At 33.8% G+C, this 19,596-nt stretch overlaps 1 protein-coding gene across 91 annotated transcripts in view; it reads right to left on the minus strand.

Annotated features, from left to right (window-relative positions):
- SSBP2 (single stranded DNA binding protein 2) overlaps positions 1–19,596 on the minus strand; it is a 339,004-nt gene that overhangs the window by 42,336 nt on the left and 277,072 nt on the right. For 51 of the 91 annotated variants that reach the window (NR_174563.1, NR_174539.1, NR_174553.1 and 48 more), the window contains 4 exons: positions 19,357–19,423; positions 18,561–18,631; positions 11,835–11,902; positions 5,916–5,964 (listed from right to left, as the gene is read on the minus strand). The exons of 1 other annotated variant lie outside the window; for it this stretch is intronic. Coding sequence is in view for 52 of the 90 variants with exons in the window: in XM_047417066.1 (XP_047273022.1) it covers positions 5,916–5,964; positions 11,835–11,902; positions 18,561–18,631; positions 19,357–19,423 (255 nt within the window). In the remaining 38 variants the exon portion in view is untranslated. Of the gene's footprint in view, positions 1–5,915; positions 5,965–11,834; positions 11,927–18,560; positions 18,632–19,356; positions 19,424–19,596 lie in introns of all 91 variants that reach the window. 39 more of the 91 variants (NR_174559.1, NR_174533.1, NR_174560.1 and 36 more) reach the window with 8 other exon arrangements.

A 19,596-nucleotide genomic window follows, 5' to 3' on the forward strand; every position in this document is an offset into this window, starting at 1 on the left:
ACAAATATTTCAAATTTAACGTTCAAAAAAAAACAAAAAACAAAGCCCCCAAACCTCATTGCCTACCTTTACACCTGCTTCTTTTCCTGTGATCCTAGCTCAGTTGTGTTATTCCCATTCTCCCAGCTACTTGGATTCAAAGAGTTGAAATCACCTTCAAAACTCTTACCTTCTCTTTATCCCTAAATCCTCCTTCTAGGCCGGGCGCGGTGGCTCACGCCTGTAATCCCAGCACTTTGGGAGGCCGAGGCGGGTGGATCATGAGGTCAGGAGATCGAGACCATCCTGGCTAACAAGGTGAAACCCCGTCTCTACTAAAAATACAAAAAATTAGCCGGGCGCGGTGGCGGGCGCCTGTAGTCCCAGCTACTCGGGAGGCTGAGGCAGGAGAATGGCGTGAACCCGGGAAGCGGAGCTTGCAGTGAGCCGAGATTGCGCCACTGCAGTCCGCAGTCCGGCCTGGGCGACAGAGCGAGACTCCGTCTCAAAAAAAAAAAAAAAAAAAAAAAAAAAAAATCCTCCTTCTAACCCTACCCTATACTTTATATTAAATACTCATTAAGATGAAATGAAAGGTAAAAATGAAGATGTAGAAGATAAGCAAAATTAGAGGATTAGAAAGTCAAACACAGAATTTGAAGAACTTATTATTTGACAGAGAATAAAATTAAGGGCCACACATACTGTCTGGCTAATCTAGACAGATCACTCAAAAACTGTGATGAGAATCCAAATATTCTGAAATATTCTGAGTCCCAATACCCATGATTGTGGTGCTGTGGTAGAGGGCAGAGAAGTAACTAGAGGACTTTCATTTTGTTAAATGATCTGTAACATTTTAGATAAGTGCCTTTCTTCAACTGTGAAGTTTAAAGCTATCTTACAAGCACTGGTTTACTAGAAATAAGGGAAGATAATATCAAGACATTATCTGTGCCACATGAAATTAAAAATATTCTATTTTAGTGCTTTTTAAAAAAATGAGCACCTATTTGTATAGAGCAGAGACTATTTGGAGTAATTTGTTCATATTTCCTTTAGGCTTAATCACTATTAATAGATGCATATTTTCCTTAAAGGAGTTTCCTCTTTTTCCCCTGACAAGTGAGCGAATTAATGAGTATAATGCTATACTGAACATTTTGTTGTTTATGCCTATCCCCTCTTTTACTATCCATTCCTTTAATTTTCTTTAGTAAACTATTTCTGCCTTTTTTTTTTTTTTTCATGTGGCTTGGGTGGGACTCAGGATGACATAATTTAAACTTTTGGAACCAAGTGTGCTCAAAACCAAAAATATATCTGGACTTTTCAGATATATGATCCAGTAATACTCTTTTTCAGTATAAGTCTAGTTTGGTTGGTGTTCCGGACCTTGTAATCAAAAGTGTCTATTTTCAGTAAAATGTTTGATAATGATCAGAACTTGTACAAAGATCAGAATCCTTCGTGAAAAAGAAAAAAAAAAGAAAAATTACAATTAGGGAGTTTGTAAATAAACCTCTAAGTAAGAATCTGAGACCAATACTGTAATGCTCAGGGGTAAGAAAATTAAAAATTAAAATCGTAACTTTTATTTGGAATTAAAAATATGAGTTTGCCCTTAAAAATGTTTTTCCTGCTGTCATGTAAAAGAGTGCCAAAAATATTTTTGAGCAAAACACTTTTATATGACAAAATTGTGGACAAAGATTAGGCAATAAATACATATATTATGGATAAGACAGACAGGTTTCATACTTTCAGAGAAGTGACTTATAAACATGGAAAGTAGAAAGGCTAGACTGAACCCTGTAGGGATGGACTGAAATGGAAGCATCAGTGTGCACTCATGTTTTTAATACAAATAGGTAAAGGTATAGACGTGTGTGGGTGTGTATACACATACATATATTTCCTAGTTCTGTTAGTTGAGAGGGCCTAAAAGTTGTATTACTCTAGTGGGTTCTAAATACCAATACCCAGTTAAAGAACCCCAAGCTCCTTAAAGAAGTGGCTGTTTCCAGGGCTAAAACTGGGAAAATATAAGAAGAGCTTCAATGTGCTCAGAGAAAAATGGGGACATGTTAAAAGGTTAAGTGATCCCACTTAAAGGGGAAAACTTTGAACAATTTTAGCATCCTAAACCCACAGAATAAAATAATTCATGAATACATCGTATATACATAAATGAATATGAATGGAAAAGAAAAAACAACTCTGTTATAGTTAGCTAACTAATAAACGGAGAAGAAAAGACAGAATTCAAAAATATCCATTTGGCAACCAACAAAGTAAAAAAGTGTTTCAGGCAAGAATCATCAATAGATGTCCAAAATAGCAGATGAAAGTATAAGGAGGAAGAGGATACCTACTGTACATTCAAAGTAAGTCTCTAAGTTAATAAGTACAAGGGGAAAAATAGTTATTTTATACTGGAGAAACCTGACAAGCACCACCTTAACTAAATGATCAAAATTAACATCAACAATAATGGGACAAATCATCATGTGCCTCCTGAAATGATGCATTGAGAAAAACACAAAATTTTTTTTTTTTTGAGACCGAGTTTTACTCTTGTTGCCCAGGCTGGAGTGCAATGGCGCGATCTCGGCTCACTGCAACCTCCACCTCCTGGGTTCAAGTGATTCTCCTGCCCAGCTTCCTGAGTAGCTGGAATTATAGGCGCCTGCTACCACACCCGGCTAATTTTTCGTATTTTTAGTAGAGATGGGGTTTCACCATGTTGGCCAGGCTGGTCTTGAACTTCTGACCTCACGTGATCCACCTGCCTCGGCCTCCCAAAGTACAGGGATTACAGGTGTGAGCCACTGCACCCGGCCAAAAACCACAAAATTACTTCTGTAGTATCCCTGACAAATATATATAACCTAAATCTAATCAGAAGGAAATAGATAAAACCAAATTATATACATTCTAAATAATCTTGCTTGGAGTTTTTTAACTCCAAGGTTAAGAAAGGCCAAAACAAACAAACAACCTCCCGCTCCAAACAAAAACAAGCTGAGAAACTGTTCCAAGTTAAAGGAGACAAAGAGACACGAAGTGAATGTAACAAGTAAATTGGGATTTTCTTTTGTTTGAAAAGATTATTGAGCCAATTAGTGAAATCTGAATAAAATCTGTAGATTAGAAAATAGCATTACATCAGAATTGATTTCCTTATTTTGATCATTTTACTGGGGTTATAAAAAAATTATGTGTTAGTTTTTTAGGAAATATACATGCAAGTATTTAGGGATAAAGTTTCAGGAAATTTAAACAGTTTAAAAATACGTTTATGTAGAGAGAGGAAATAATAAAGCAAATGTGGTAAGACATTAACAATTGGGAATCTGGGTGAAGGGTGTATGGAAATTCTTTGTAGTATTCTTGCAATGTTTAACTCTGAAGTTATTCCAAAATAAACACTTGAAAGAAAAAATAGTAAACAAAACATATTTGAAAACAGCAAAAACAAAACAAACAACTACTTCAATATGCTGCCTTGAGGAGTCAGAGACTAACTGTATTGGTACGAACTGAAAAGTGTTTTAATATTAAATATGGGCAGGAAGTCTAAGAAACTTGGAATTCAACATAATTTGGATAAGTTGTCACCACAAAATGATCCATGGTTTTTGGGGAAAAATACCTCCTTAATACTTTTTGCTTCTGTTTCATAGAAGCCCTAGGTCTTTGCTAGAAAGTCGTCAGTTATCTATGATTTTTTTCCCCTTGTTCTTAGAGTGGTCATTTTCAGAGGCCTACTTTTCCTTTGGATGCTCAGGATGATGACTACTTTCTCTCTCTAAAGAGAGAATGATAGGCCTCCTCCACTTCTTTTCCCTATTCTCATACTTTGAGTAAGGGTAGATGTTTGCACATTTGGTATACATTCATCGAGGAGACTGCTTTCAACTCCATTACTTGCCTACATGTGTGCTAGTCAAATGCCCATTTCAGACTGGTGGACAGCAGTTTGATGTGTACAGCTTTTACCCTAATTCCTTATGTTTCTCAGGGTCTAAAATAATGCATAACTGCTAGTGTGTTATAGCGTATTCTCCTACCCACAGTGCCCAGCGCTATGAAATCCTAAAGAGATGGAGTACCTAAAAAACTAAAAGTCATCAGAACACAGAGCTCCCCTCTCATCTATACTGTTTACTTGGATAATATACCCCCTTGGTACAATGAAACATCCTTGTCAATATCAACCGCTCAAACCCTGTCCACCTTCCTAGGTGCCTTGTGGGAGATATAATCTTTGAATGAGTGTGTAAAAGAAGGTACTTATAAAGGTGGGTAGTGGTGGGTGTGAATTGTACTCTGGCTGCCTACAATGGCAGTAAAGGGATGACTGGCTGAGCTGACAATGAGGAATAAGAGAATGGTTTTTGTGCTTCTAGGTGGGAAGGTTTCCATAGTTAAGGTGAGCCATTGGTTGTGCTTTTCCATCTAGCTTCATGAGACATGCAGATAATGGAAATTCTTTCCAGATTCTGGCACTGGGAAGAGTTTTGTTACAAAAAATGTTTTCTTGCATTCTTTTTATGGGCATTTAAATAGGAAGTTAAAATAAATGTATCTTGACCTGCTAGACAGGTGTGATTTTAAAGTGAAATCTTGAATGAATTGGTTAGGTCAAATAGTAAGAAGCTAATAGATCATAAGAAGTAAACTCTTGTAAAGCATGTAAGCAAATGAAAATAATTTTGAGGGTGTAAAGGTACTCTATTCCAACACAATCTGGCAAAACACTATTTTAGGAGAAAGACTTGTTGAAATTAAATAACACACTGAAGACTCAAATGGAAGCAACATCATTCTTTTCACTTCAAATAATTTCAATTACTTAGCAAACATCGTAGCTATTAAAATTAAGAGAAAAGCAGATAACATGAATTAACATTTTAAAAAATATATGACAGTTATTTACTTGAGCTGAAAGTGATTCCTGCTTCAAAACAGCAATGGATTTAGGATGATTCTTCCTATACCCTAACCTTAAACACTGGATCGGTTTCATATTCATTTAACATTAAGGCCACTGCTAGCCAATGAAGATACCTTTGTACATATTAGCAAAAAGCATCCTCTTTGCGTAGATGCCCATTGACTTCACAAGGGGATCACAGGTTGTATTTCATTCTCCTACTGACTCTCTTGACCCGGGAACCTTTGTGCAGTGCACACAGTACACAGATGTACATGGCAGACTTCTCTCACATATCGAAGAACTCAAGGTTTCAAAGACAAGAAGGAAAAACATCTCCAGGATCACAACATTAAAATCATATTAAGATCGATAGCTTAATTTTCAACCTGTGCACATATTTCTGTGACATTATTAAGAGAGATAAATATTAGTGCCATCAAACCACGGCCACAAATATATAAGGAAAATTCCCAAGATGTCAGGTATATAGAGAGATGTACAAGGATGGCAATTTAGCTAACAGGTACAAGGTAAATATGCATTTGCTTTCTGGGGCAGCAAGAAAGCAAACCTAGATGTAATTGATATAGCAAATAAAATCATAATAATTTGGCTTCTTCTAACAGGTTGATTGTATTTGGCAACTCAGTGATTATTAATAGTTATTTTAGAAGATCAAACCATTTTATGATACAGATCACTATTTATAGGCTATTGTAGTATATACTTAAGTCACACTATTTCAATTTTTATTTTTGAAAGTCTTGTTGACAATAGAATGCATGTTTACATTAGACCTTGAAGTGAAAGAAAATTACATAATTTCAAAAAATTATGCATCTTTTTCTAAAATTTATATTAAACTTTTTGAATGATTACTTAAAAAAGGGTTACTACAACCAATTGCAAAGCTTTCAAAAGCAAAATGTTTTTGTGATTTTTGTTAAATGTTACAAAATGCAAAATATTAAAAAAAATATATATATATACTCACTGAATTGGCATTTGTTGGGTTTGGCCAAGGTCTACCACCACCTGGACCCCTACAAAACAATTTGATAAATGAAATTTTAACCTATGCTTTGAAGGTTTCACAATAATCAATGACAAATCATAAAATATAACATTTATAATTCAGTTACTATGCAGTTCTAGTTTGGCACTGAAATTACTCTCTTTATATTTATTTTAATAGCTTTTTATATTAATTAAGTCCCCCAAAAGAAAAGTTTTCTTCCCAAATTGAACTGCTTTTAGAAAGCCCAGTTTTATTTTAATATTAAATGGTTATTGTTATAAAGATGGTAACTGCTCATAGGAGTAAATATATACATACATTGAAATCATTATAAAACACACTTCTGTAGTGAAAAGTATTATGAACTAAATATAAACCATAACCTTGTGATATCAATATGAGCTTCCTGTATCTCATTCAAAATAAAATTTGTAAAACATCAATATATGTAAAATGATTGATCTTAAGCTATAAGCAAATAAAAATATATAAAAGGTATCTAAAGTTGCCTTTTAAAAAAAAACCACAGAGTATCACACATTACTTTTATATTTATTAATCTATCTTTCAATGCTACTGATGATTTAGTTACTATTAAATGAGAAATCCCATTTCTTGTTCTCATAATTTCAGTCCAGATAGTGGCCAGAGCAAATCTTAGAAAAAATGGGAGATAATCTATGCCAATATATTACTTCATTTTAGAGTAAAGGAGAATGTTCTGTATTCCACAGCTTCTAAGGACACTGAGTTTTTAAAGTAAAATTAATGCCCAATTAATTAAATCAAAAAGGTCTCTTGTCCTCATACTTTAGTACTAAATTGTGTACCTGAATAAAGACTGTCTTATGAAAAGCAGACTACTGTCAGTCGGTCTCCTCTAATTAGGGTCATTTAAAATTCCCCTTCATTTGAATCACTAAGACAATGAAAATTTTTAATTAAAAAAAATCCCTTGATTCTAAGACCTTAAACCTAAAATTCTAAATCAGGAGTGTCCAATCTTTTGGCTTCCTTGGGCCACACTGGAAGAAGAACTGTCTTGGGCTACACATAAAATACACTAACACTAACGATAGCTGATGAGCTAATAAAAAAAAAAGAATTACAAATAAAATCTCATAATGTTTTAAGAAAGTTTACAAATTTGTGTTGGGTCACATTCAAAGCCGTCCTGGGCCACATTTGGCCCACAGGCCACAGGTTGGACAAGCTAGTTCTAAATGTTAGATAAAGAGGCTGAGCAAGTTAGTTATGATATTACCCATGTTTGCATGGAATATTTAGAACAGTTTTTAGTTTTGTTTTGAGATTCCCTAGAGGTGTGAGCAGCAGGGAAGGGAATGAGTCCTGTCCCTGGGCTCTATTAGGAATGCCCAAGTGGAATTTTTTCCCAATTCAGCTTGAGGTATAGAAGATACCAGTGGGGACTTGATAAAATTTTGTGCATAGGGAGAAAGAAGGTGAGAGGCATTTGTATTGATTGTCTTTGGAAATTGTTGCCTCTCCAAGATGATGATGGAGATGATGATTTTACAATTAATTACTGGAACACTTCAGAAAAATGATTTTACCTATAGGATTCAGTGTCCTAATGGACAGAATCTAAGGTAAAACATAAGATATGTGTTGACCAAGTAAAACATTTGGGTAGTAAGGTACATCCACATGATTTGTTTGATGTTAAATAAAACACAGTAAAAAAACTTGGGAACATTTATCTTAAAATGACATAAAAGTACACCATATGCAGATCCTGGCAAAATTTATATATAATAATGTTATGTAGATAATCTTATAATTTTGAAATATCATAACCAAACAAGTACTGTATGAATAAGATGCATAAATAGAATAAACTATTTTTATTTTCAAATTTTTCTAATGTTAAACATGCTAACCTAAATGTTAAAATAATTAAATATTTAATTTAATTTAATTGCATTAAATTAAATGTTACATTTATGTCATAACATTATATATTTCAATTTGATAAATACCAATCTAGTTCCAACATACTAAGTGTTTCATAATAAATTTCATTTTACTATTAAGTATTAATAATTCATATGGATAAGTTAAATTTCTCCTAACATTACCATTGTGTTTGAAAATACTTTAAGTTTCACAAGTATTTTATAAAAAGTGAGGGTTATAGTAGGGAGTAGTTCTATTAGAACAACTAGTTAAGCTCAGTAATTCCCACTCCTTTTGAGGGCCCTCAGTATTATTAAGAAAGTAATTTACAAATTATAACATAGGAATTATTTTGAATGAAAATTTCTATATAAGTATGGTTTGAAGTAGAATCAGGTTAGCCTCATTTAAAAATGAAGAGAGGCTGGACATGATAGTTTATGCCTGTAATCCCAAAGCTTTGCGAGGCCGAGGCGGGGGGACCACTTGAGCTCAGGAGTTGAAGGCCATTCTGAGCAACATGTCGAAACCCCATCTACACAAAAAATACAAAAATTAGCCGGGCGTGGTGGCGCATGCCTGTGGTCCCAGCCACTTAGGAGGCTGAGGCAGGAGAATTGCTTGAACCGGAGAGGCAGAAGTTGCAGTGAGCCGAGATCATGCTACAGCACTCCAACCTGGGTGCAGAAGTCTGCATTTTTTGGTAAGGAGGTTGATTTTGATGAAATCAAATCAACCACTATTACCAAAGAGAAAAATCCTCTTTTTTTTTTTTTTTTTTTTTTTGGTTTGGGACACAGTCTTGCCCTGTCACCTAGGTTGGAGTGCAGTGACAGGATCCCAGCTCACTACAACCTCCACCTCCCGGGCTCAAGCCATTCTCGTGCCTCAGTCTCTCAAGAAGCTGGGATTACAGACACCTGTCAACATGCCCAGCTCATTTTTGTATTTTTAGTTTAGATGGGGTCTCCCTATGTTGCCCAGGCTGGTCTCAAACTCCTGACCTCAAGTGATCCGCCTGCCTTGACCTCCCAAAGTGCTGGGATTACAGGCATGAGCCACCATGCTTGGCCTGAAAAATCCTCTTTCTTCTGTAATTCACTATCATTTTATTTCAAAATAATAACTACACAAACTTCATAATTCTGCAGGATATAATACAGAATAAGAAGATCCTCTGAAATCCTTTTGGCCTCGTAGTATTGCTTAATAGTAATGTATACAAAGTTGAGTTAGGGGTGCTTTAATACTAAATCCTAAATTCTTTGGAAACTTATAAAAATGTATTTAATTTAGAAATACATGATTATTCAAATTTCCTTTAAACAGTAATCTACAATGCATTAGAAAATTATATTTTGGCCATAACTTATAAATGCTACTTTAAATTACTTAAATTTAGTTTTGGCTTCTAAGATACAATACTGGTTACAGAAACATAGAAAGTAAGTTTTTCAGTGACACAATATAATTTATCCTAAGTTTAGAGCATGAAAACAAAGTTTTTTAAACAATAAGGTTACCAAATTTACTTCCGAATGATTTATTCTGCAATAAAGAAATACAGTTGTCAGTTAGAATATAGTCTTTAATTACTTTAGTGACCAGGGTTGGGAATTTTTTATTGTCATCATACTCTCATGGCAAATAAGAAAAAATGACAAGCTAAAGAAAAATTATCCAGATATGAGTCTCTGGCATGCTCCTCCTAACACATAAATATTTTTGTTACTTAAATAGTTTAGTTAGTTCAAGACAGAGCGTAAGGTAACACCTTTCTAATGCCTTTTTCTTCCATTTTTAAGGAATATGCAAAATTCCTTAATGACATGAAGCTACAAATACGTTAGGAATACTGTGTGTATGCATTACAGTTAGACTTTGTTTTAAAGATAATACATTATAAAGTGAATTTCAATAAAGCTTACCCTATTGAGTGCAATGGAGATAATATGTTTCACTTTTTATGTCTCTAAACAAACCTTTGCTTTTTTGGGGCCAATATCAATATAATAGTTACACTCTTATAGAGCATTCATACCTGAGAAGTTTCCCTATTAGAGGAAAATATTTACAAGTGTAAAAATGTAAATATTTACATTTCATTGTCCTTGAAGGAATCCTGATTTTTAGAAAACTAAAAATGGTATAGGATCTTACATAAAAGAAAACAGTAACAAAAAAATGGAGATCAGAGTCTGTAAGGCTTAAAGGTTCTTTACAAAGAAGATATTATATTAATAGTAAAATATGATGTAATTGAAAATACTTAAAAGTATCTAGGGATTAAACTTAAATAAGACACCCAAACCTAAATATCAACAAAAAGTAATCATATTAAAAATTTCAGCCATATTTTTAGTCTCCATAGTCTAGGAAATTAAATGCATGCACATGTATATGCTTAAGTATATCTGGGAAAGAAACTAGACAATTGGAAGCAGTTATTTTAATCTCTCAATGGTCACATAGAAACAATTTTTTTCTCTGAACAGGGAAAACTAAGTGGATTTAAAGTTGGCCGTATGATCAATTATAATGCAGAGTAATGTACAAATGATATTAGATACATTCTTATTGAATGATCATTCTGGGGTGATCATAGTATTCAAAATATATACTCCTTACATTTATACATGGTATTCAACATCATACCCCTTAAAATCTGCATTTTAAAGTAAGAATCTCATGTGGGTATGTTTTATATACATCTCCATCCTATTGGTAAGAGCTTCAGCTTTTGACATAATAAGCAGAAAATGCCATTCACTCTTTTTTGAAGCAACCATTAATACAAGGCCAAGCCTTTGAGGAATTTAAGAAGAGTCGGATTTCATGTGTATCCATTTTTACTTTAAAAGTAAAAAGATGTGATAGGAAAATCTGACCTACTTTCCCTCCTGCTCTGTTAGTTTTAAGCCTAGCTGGTACCCACCTATTAACCTATTTTCTATTTCAGGCAAATTTGCTTTCCATGAAAATGGCTTCAGAAACTTAAAAAAAATCCTGCATAGATGAAAAGAGCTTATTTCACAGTGTATCTTCAATGCCATTAAATGATGGCAGAGTTGTTTAATTTGATATATAAGTAATCAAAACACGAACTGATGGAAACACACTTGAGGAGACACCCACAAACCTATATGGAACACTTTCATTACTTTTGGTAAATTTTCTTTAGGCCACATCATGAAACTGATCCTCTTGTGAATTAATGAAAGTCACTAACAAGTACCTTGTGTATATAAGACTTGGAGGGCAAGCTGGATAATGAAAAAGAAAAATTTCCTAACAAACTACATTATATTGGCTGATAGAAACAAACTACTCTCTTTGGGTTGGAAAGGCCATTCCAATAAAAAATTTAGTTTACTCCTTATCTAAATGTGTCTGGAATTTTTCAAAACAAAATTCATCCTACGCTACGGAAAGTTCTTTGATAGAGATTATAGTATACTACCAGAGAGAATTCTTCCTGTGTTGACAGTAGTCCCAACAAAGCAAAAGTAGAGATATGTATGTATTTATGAGTTAAAAACTCCACTCATAGAATCACTATGTATCTGTTAAAAATGAGGTTAACCGTATTCAATTATCTACTTCTACAGAGTTAAGTCAAAGTCCTGGTGTTAGCATCTCTTCATATTTTATATACTATATGGAGACTCTGTAGTTATCAAAATGAAATAGACTAAAAGCTGTTATTTATAGCACTTGAAAATGAAAAAAAATTAAAGGTTGCAAGGGAACAAAGAAAACATAAGAGATTATGTTGTGAAAATGAAGCAAACACTACAGCTCTTGTTTAGTTCATTTTTATACCACACAGAGACTGTGGTGCTCAAATTGTTTTACAAATTAACGTCATTTTAGAGGCCAGAAAATAGAACACTTTACTAAATAGAATAATATGGTATTATTTATATATATAAAATATCATCCACGTAATAATGTAGTATATGATATAACATTGCTTACATGTTCATTCCAGGCATTCCAGGGCCACCTAAAGCATTCAGTGGGGGTCTCATTGCACCTCCATAGTTCTGTAATGATAACCAAGGGTCAGACTACCACAAAACAAAAAAACAAAACCAAAGAGGAGGGGGGAAAGAAAGGAGAGCACGTTAATGATTTCCCTACATAACTCCAATTGGATAAGGCCTGTGTAATTCATTCTCTGAGGGGTCCATTCTTGTATTTTTGCTTCTATTTTAGCAATTACTTTGGTCTATGTCTTTTTAAAACCATGTGAATATGTATGATCACTGGAGCACGTTAAATGATTAAGGTATGGCTGCAATTATATTTCAATATATTTTATTAATATCCTAAGATATGTACAATAGTAAACATTTTCAAATGAAACATATCATAAATCCAAAATTCAATTTTGAAAGAGTGATTCAATGTTTGAAATTGTCAGACCCAGCACAATGACATAAAGTCCGAAAAGAAAACAAAACAGGTGAACCCAACACAAGAAAGTTAAATGCAAACTTCTATTCACAAAATAACATGTCCAACACAGAAATGCATTAATATACAAATACACAAAAAGTATAAAAACTAATGTATATTCAAAATACGTATGCATGAATTATATGACTCAATCAGCTTCTGTTAATATCTATCATGTGCATTCAAAGGATAAAAACATTTTAATGTTTTAACATGTACATGTTATTAGATTAGTTTAGTTGCCATAGGGACAAAAAGGCTAATTTTATCACTATTATCTTAATGTATTTTGACATTATCAACAACTTTCACACTTGGCTTTCTGATACCAATATTCCTCCAACTCTTCTGGGTACTCTTTTTCAATTTCCTTTGCTAGCTCTTTTTATTTTGCTAAACCTTTAAATGTTGCTTTTCTCCAAGTTCTAGCTATAGCACTCTTTTCAATAAAACACATTTATGAGTAATCTTATCTGCCACCATTTGTTCAACAACTACTTATATGTTAGGAATCTCAAATCTTTATATCTGATCATGATGTCTTTCCTAAGCTCCCAGATAACTCATACGTTGAACTTCATAGGATTTGTTTCCATCTGGATACCATCTTACTCACAACATATCTAAAAGTAAACTCAATATTATCTTCTCATGACTGAGTTCTTTGTACTGCTTTCCTCGTCACTTCTGTGCTATCACTTTCCACACAATAGCCCAAGCTAAGAATTTCCAGGAGCTCTTGATGTTTCTTCCTTTTCTTTCAAATTCCCATATCCAGTCAGTTACCAAAGTCCATTGATTCTATCTATGAAATAGCTCTTGAAATAGTTCTCTCCTCTTATTACTAATCTTTGTCACTTACTGAGACTACTGCACTGTCTTAATTGTTTCTCTGATTTAGTCTCTCCTGCTCCCAATCTATTCTCCAAACTGCCTCAGGAGCTATCCTTCTAAAACTCAGTCCTACTCATGTCACTTAGAAGCTATGATGACCCACACTACCTGTCAAATAAGTTTAAACTTCTCAGCGTGGCTCTATGAGGTATTCAAGGCTCAGCCCCAGCCTATCTTTCCTGTCCTCATTTTCTATAATTTTCATCTTTATTCCCTACTCCCAACCATACCCTCCAACCTACTGGATTTAAGTTAAGAAACACATAATAGACTTTTATACTCATGTTAACTCATCTTCCCTGGCCTTTAAGTAGTAGGTGCTCAGATGACAAGGAAATAAATCAAAGAGAGCAGGTCTGTTGACTCCAGAGTGTAAGCTACAGTTGATAAATGACATTACCTAGTTACATGCTATTCTCATTGTTTATTTACTTTTACTTTAAGGAAATCTCATTTAAATATCCAAATTTGTGAGCTATGGGACAATAGAATGATTTCTGTTCACACTTGAGACATTGGTTAAAAGGATAGCTATTTCCCCTAACCTCTGGATCAGGCATGGTGGTGGCAGCAGCAGTACTAGCAAGGGGGTCTCTGAGATAAAGATTAGTCATTGCAAACAAAATCTGAATGGTAAAATATAATAGAAATGTTTCACAAGAAAAGTCTCCCCTCCTTTTTGGTCTTACAAGATCTCTGTTTTATTTCCCCTCATTTTTGATCTTAGAAGATCTCTGTTTTATTTTATCAAGGAAACCATTAATTTTCCTTATAGCTTTGGACATAGGTAGACAATGGTTTGAATCTCTGTTGCCACTGCCCCATTGCCTCTGCATCTCTCTGTGTGTGATCTTGGGCAAATGATTCTCCCAATGATACCCTGATCTTAATTTCCTTATTTGTAAAGTGATAATATTATCTCCCTTATAGGCTTGTTGGTGAATAAAATGAAATATAAAGCACCTATCATAGTACTTAGTGAATTAAAAGCATGATATTTGGTGCTCAAAAACTGTAACTGCTAACTCTTTTTTTTTCTTTTACCATTGTTAATAAGAAACCAACTTAAATGAGTCCTCTTTTCACTAGCTTCCATAGCCCTCAACGCTAACAGAATTACTTGCCTCTTTATGTAATGGCTCCACAAAAAGTATGTAAATTTATTATCTAGACTTTCCCCATTATATAACAGTTTTTCTTTGTGTATCTATACTTCCTGCTAAATAATAAGTACCTTGAAGGCAGCATATCTATGTTACTCATCTTTGTATACCCAGTGTTCATGTATGGTGCCTGGCACACAGTAGGCCTTCCATGAATGATGAGCTAGTTCAACTGAATTGACCCAGGAAATGAATAAGAAATTTTTCAATATATGCTTGATAGATTTGCAAAATATTTTCATTTAGTGAATAATCTAAAGCAAAAAGAAAGAATAACAACTTGCTTTCCAAGTGCTAGCAACAAAGGCAGAATGGGAAGACCTAATTTAGAATCACTGAATTTTAAAGCTGATGGCAACTATACAATTCCATCTGGTCTAATCTCTCTCCCACTGCAATGTTTCTGACAAAATGGCTGTTCAGACTCTGCTTGGAAAGTTTATAAAGTCTTTCCATGGTTGGGAAATTTAATTTCTAGAAAGTTCTTCCCTGTACTGAGCTAAATTCTACTGCCCATCATAGATCTGAAAATATAGAATCAGTTTACTTTTTCCTTACATGAGAGCCTATCATACATATATTGCCACCTCACCATTTTTCCACTCCAAGTATCTTATTTGGAAATCATAAGTTTCTATTTGTATATAACTTCTTTATCCTTCAGATTTCTAGAGAAGCTAAAACTAGTTGGGTAGTTTTGGTTAATCACGTGGCACTTACTGCCCTTAAAAACACAGGTTAGCTAAGTACATCTTATTACAAAACCAAGTAGAAAACTGGTTTCATATATGATATTAGAAAAGATATTTTTCTTGATTAAATAGGTAGTTTTGTTTTTTTATTGAAAGGATTCTAATATACTTTCACTTTAAAAATAATGTACCACCACTGTATTTAGATTTAAAATAGATTAAGGGGTAGGGAAAAATATGCCTACTAGATTTGGGGCAAACCTTTATTTCTTCATACACGCATTAAGTATTAATCACATGTTAACTATATTCTATGTGTGCACTTTGCTCAAATCAACATAATCTAAGAATAATTAGATTTACATATTTCTTTGTTTTAGGAATTCAGTTGTTCTAATAGATAACTACTGTCCCCCTGTACCACACTGATCTTAAGCTCAAAAAGTTATGGAAGTAACATCTATGTTAAAAAAGAAATGTGTATTTTGTTTGTGCATAAATCTAGAGACAATATTTCAGACTTTTTCTACAATACAGCTAAAAATAAGGCAGATATCTTCTGCTCTTGGACAGCATCTGTATGATTAAATGTCTGTTATGAGAGTTGTTTTTCCATTATCTCTCAAGAAACACAGCTAACCATTATCACAAATTTCACAGTTTATAATGTATATGTTTATATGTTTAATATACCAGGTCTTATGAAATAAATACGTCATAAGATTCCCCTGATTCCAAATTATTTTACCTGACCTTTTTTTATTGTACTATCTTATAAATATGACTCCTGCTTTCATTTAAACATATGATATGTATGTATAAATAATTTCCTTTAATCCTTATACTTTTTATATTGTGATTTTAAAAAGTTACTGTAGGCATTTCTTATTTCTGAGGTAAATTCATACCAGGACACTTAATTTCCATCATATTATATAGAAATAGTAAGAACACTGCCAATCCAAATGAAATAAACCACTTTCTCTGGTTTTAAAAATCTAAAGAATTGACACATATAATAAACTTAGCTATTAAAACTCATCAATAAGAGCCTACCAGAAATAGAAACTGTCTTATTTTCTGTTGTAATTTACTGTGCTGTAAATACTGTAAAACTGATTCTTAAATCAGATTCTAGTTTTTGAAGTATTAAAATCTAATACTAATAACAGAGATGATAAACATTTAAAGAGCAGCTAGCTGAAAAATAAGTGAATAAATAATAATAACTAAATTACAAGCACAAAGTTTTTGTGTATATTTAAAATGTATTTATTAATAAAATCTTTTGGAAAAAAATCCTTTAACAGCCAGATTGGTTGGCTTAGTTTATTAAAGACTAAAAGTATACTTAGCCAATAAAATACCTATGGAACTTAAGCAGTCTTATTATTAATAGCTTAATGATGATTGGTTAACATGTATCATCATTCCTAATATGAATAGAAATAGGTAAGAATAATTCAAATATCTAAATGAGGGTTTTATTAGCTCTTAAGGAAATCCATTGAAAATAACTGAGCCTAAATAAAAGAAACTGGTTTCTTTTGGCTTTGAGGCTGCCACATATATTTACGTGACACCATTTGTTCCTCTTTCCTTGGAACTGTATTTATATGGGTTTTTTTTTTCCTATAATATGGCATCTCCAAAAAGTCTGGCTAAATGAACCCCTTGTTTCAATATAGTCAATATACATAGTTATATGTTGGTTAGAAACAATGCATATATACAATACAAACATACAATACAACATATATTATTGTATGTAGGTCTAAGTCATATTATCTGGGTGCTGAGTTCTCAATTTTTTTACTCTGTTGGTAGCACAACAAAACATCAATTTAACTTTTAAAAAGTAGATATACAAAACAAGCTCCTAAAGTACTGCTCATAATGCTGTTTCTTGGAAAGGAGAAATGAATAAGTTCATTCTTTTAACCAGCTTTATGACATGTTAATCTCTGACCCACGAGGTAGAAATTTAAAATTCTGGATTTTAAATTAGTTTCTTTGAAAAATGACATTATAAAATTAATTTCTACCCCAAGAAGCTTTCCCAAGAGAGACAAAGGATGTTTTAGCTAAAATGCATGATATCCTGGAACAGCACTCTTAAAATGTCACCAACAGCTAGGAGAGGTTCAACCTCAGTGTATACTTCTGGGAAATTTTATAGAGAAGTCAGCTAACATCTGATGTATACTGATAGTATTATGCTTGTTCAATAAGACCCATTTTAATGTTTATTTCTAAATGGTTTTCTACTGTTTTCCCATTCTATAATGAAATATGATTGTAAAGAATAAATTGTCAATGACAGTCTTTAAGATTTATGGAAATATATTTTATACTTACTCTTTAATATTTTCAATCAACTGGGTTTTATTTATTTATTTATTATTTTTTTGAGACGGAGTTTTTGCTATTGTTCCCCAGGCTGGAGTGCAATGGCGCGATCTTGTCTCACTGCAACCTCTGCCTCCCAGGTTTAAGCGATTCTTCTGCCTCATCCTCTCGAGTAGCTGGGATTACAGGCACCTGCCACCTCGCCTGGCTTACTTTTTGTATTTTTAGTAGAGACGGGGTTTCACTAGGTTGGCCAGGCTGGTCTCAAACTCCTGACCTCAAGTGATCCACCTGCCTTGGCCTCCCAAAGTGCTGGGATTATAGGCGTGAGCCACTGCGCCCAGCCAACTGGGTTTTATTTAACTTAACCATCTCCTCAGCATGACTAAGAAAAGGGTAACAGTTACCTTTTGAATAGTAATTATAATATATTTCCATACAGTGTATTTTCTCAAATAAATTAAAGGCTTAAATGACAGCACACTGTTAAAGTATGGTTTGTTGTTATACCGATTTGGCATGTCACAAATGTTATGGCCTCATGAGTCTAACAACTATGTTACATGAAGTCTGTAATGCATATTCTCATAGCCAGCAAATAACATAGTTTGTTTACATATGTGAAGGAGGCAAAAAGCTCAGCATCTAGGTTTCTGCACTGATTTTTCTCAGTGTTCAGTTTTATTATTCATTTATTTATTTTACTTTAAGTTTCGGAATACAAGTGCAGAACGTGTAGGTTTGTTACATAGGTATATGTACGCCATGGTAGTTTGCGGCACCTATTAACCTGTCATCTAGGTTTTAAGCCCCACATGCATTAGCGATTTGTCCCAATGCACTCCCTTCCCTTGCCCTCCACCCTCCCGACTGGCCCTGGTGTGTGTTGTTCCCCTCCCTGTGTTCATAAATTCTTGTTGGAAGAACACACGGTGTTTGGTTTTCTGTTTCTGTGTTAGTTTGCTGAGGATGATGGCTTCCAGCTTCATCCATGTGCCTGCAAAGGACATAATCGCATTCCTTTTTATGGCTGCATAGTATTCCATGGTATACATGTACCACATTCTCTTTACCCAGTCTATCATTGATGGGCATTTGGGTTGGTTCCATATCTTTGCTATTGTAAATATGCACTGATTATTTACCTGTGGTCCTAAGGGCACCATTCCTCTTGGAGGAGTCATTCTCTGCATTGGCCCACCCATATTTGGATGTCCTAAAAAAAGTATGAAGACATTAGCAAAGTAATGAGCATGAGTACTAAACCAGAGGCTAGCAGCTTCCTCCCTCCTGGGTGTTACTGTCTCATTTACCAAGAGTCTGAGTACTGACACCATCTTACCTTGGCTTCCAGACCACTTTTCCACCTCTTACCACTACCTACCCACACCCTCTATTAATGTCTTGACTGAAATTTTCTCCCTATTCTGTGGTGAATTAATTCTCTAACAGCATTTGCTCCTCTTCCCATGGAACAGTACAATAGAGCATTACATATCTGTGGTTCCTAAGTATCTCTGGAGGGATTTGGTTATTGAGATTGTTAAACTAATCAGGCCCCTTGCTGCTTAGCACCTTCTTTCCCTCTGCTCATCTTTCAGATGGGCTAAGGCCTCTATCTGAAAAAGGCAAAAGAAATAATAAGTGATATTATCACTTAGCTTCCTACTTGTTAGATGTTATATAAAAGGTTTTAGAATTATTAATTAAAATATGGATTTTTGGATCCTCATGTATTCTTTTTCTTATGTTATCACTACCCTCACTATCATGCATAATTAAGTGAGCTGGAAATATAAATCATTTGGCTATGTTACTTAGAAAAATGCAACTGGTATAACTATAGGAGATTTACTTATACAAATACAATTTTCCTTAAGAGATAAAAGATTTCCTCTATGGTTCTGCACATCAATTTTCCTTTTACTTTAGAGTAGTCACCTTGTTGTCGAGTTGGATCCATTCCACTGGGGAGTAATGGCTGACTTCCTGGGACACCTCCAAGTGCCTAGCAATTTATTAAGAAAAATAAAGAGCAATATTGTAAATATTTATAAAATAAGTTTTTTAACAATTTCCTTTTAAATGCTTGTATGATAATTACAAGAATGCATTTGAGTATTTCTCAAGATTTCTTATATTTCACATTCATTTATAAGTTTTGCAGGTTTATATACCTTA

Source organism: Homo sapiens, chromosome 5, assembly GCF_000001405.40.
Source record: "Homo sapiens chromosome 5, GRCh38.p14 Primary Assembly".
Lineage (NCBI taxonomy): Eukaryota > Metazoa > Chordata > Mammalia > Primates > Hominidae > Homo > Homo sapiens.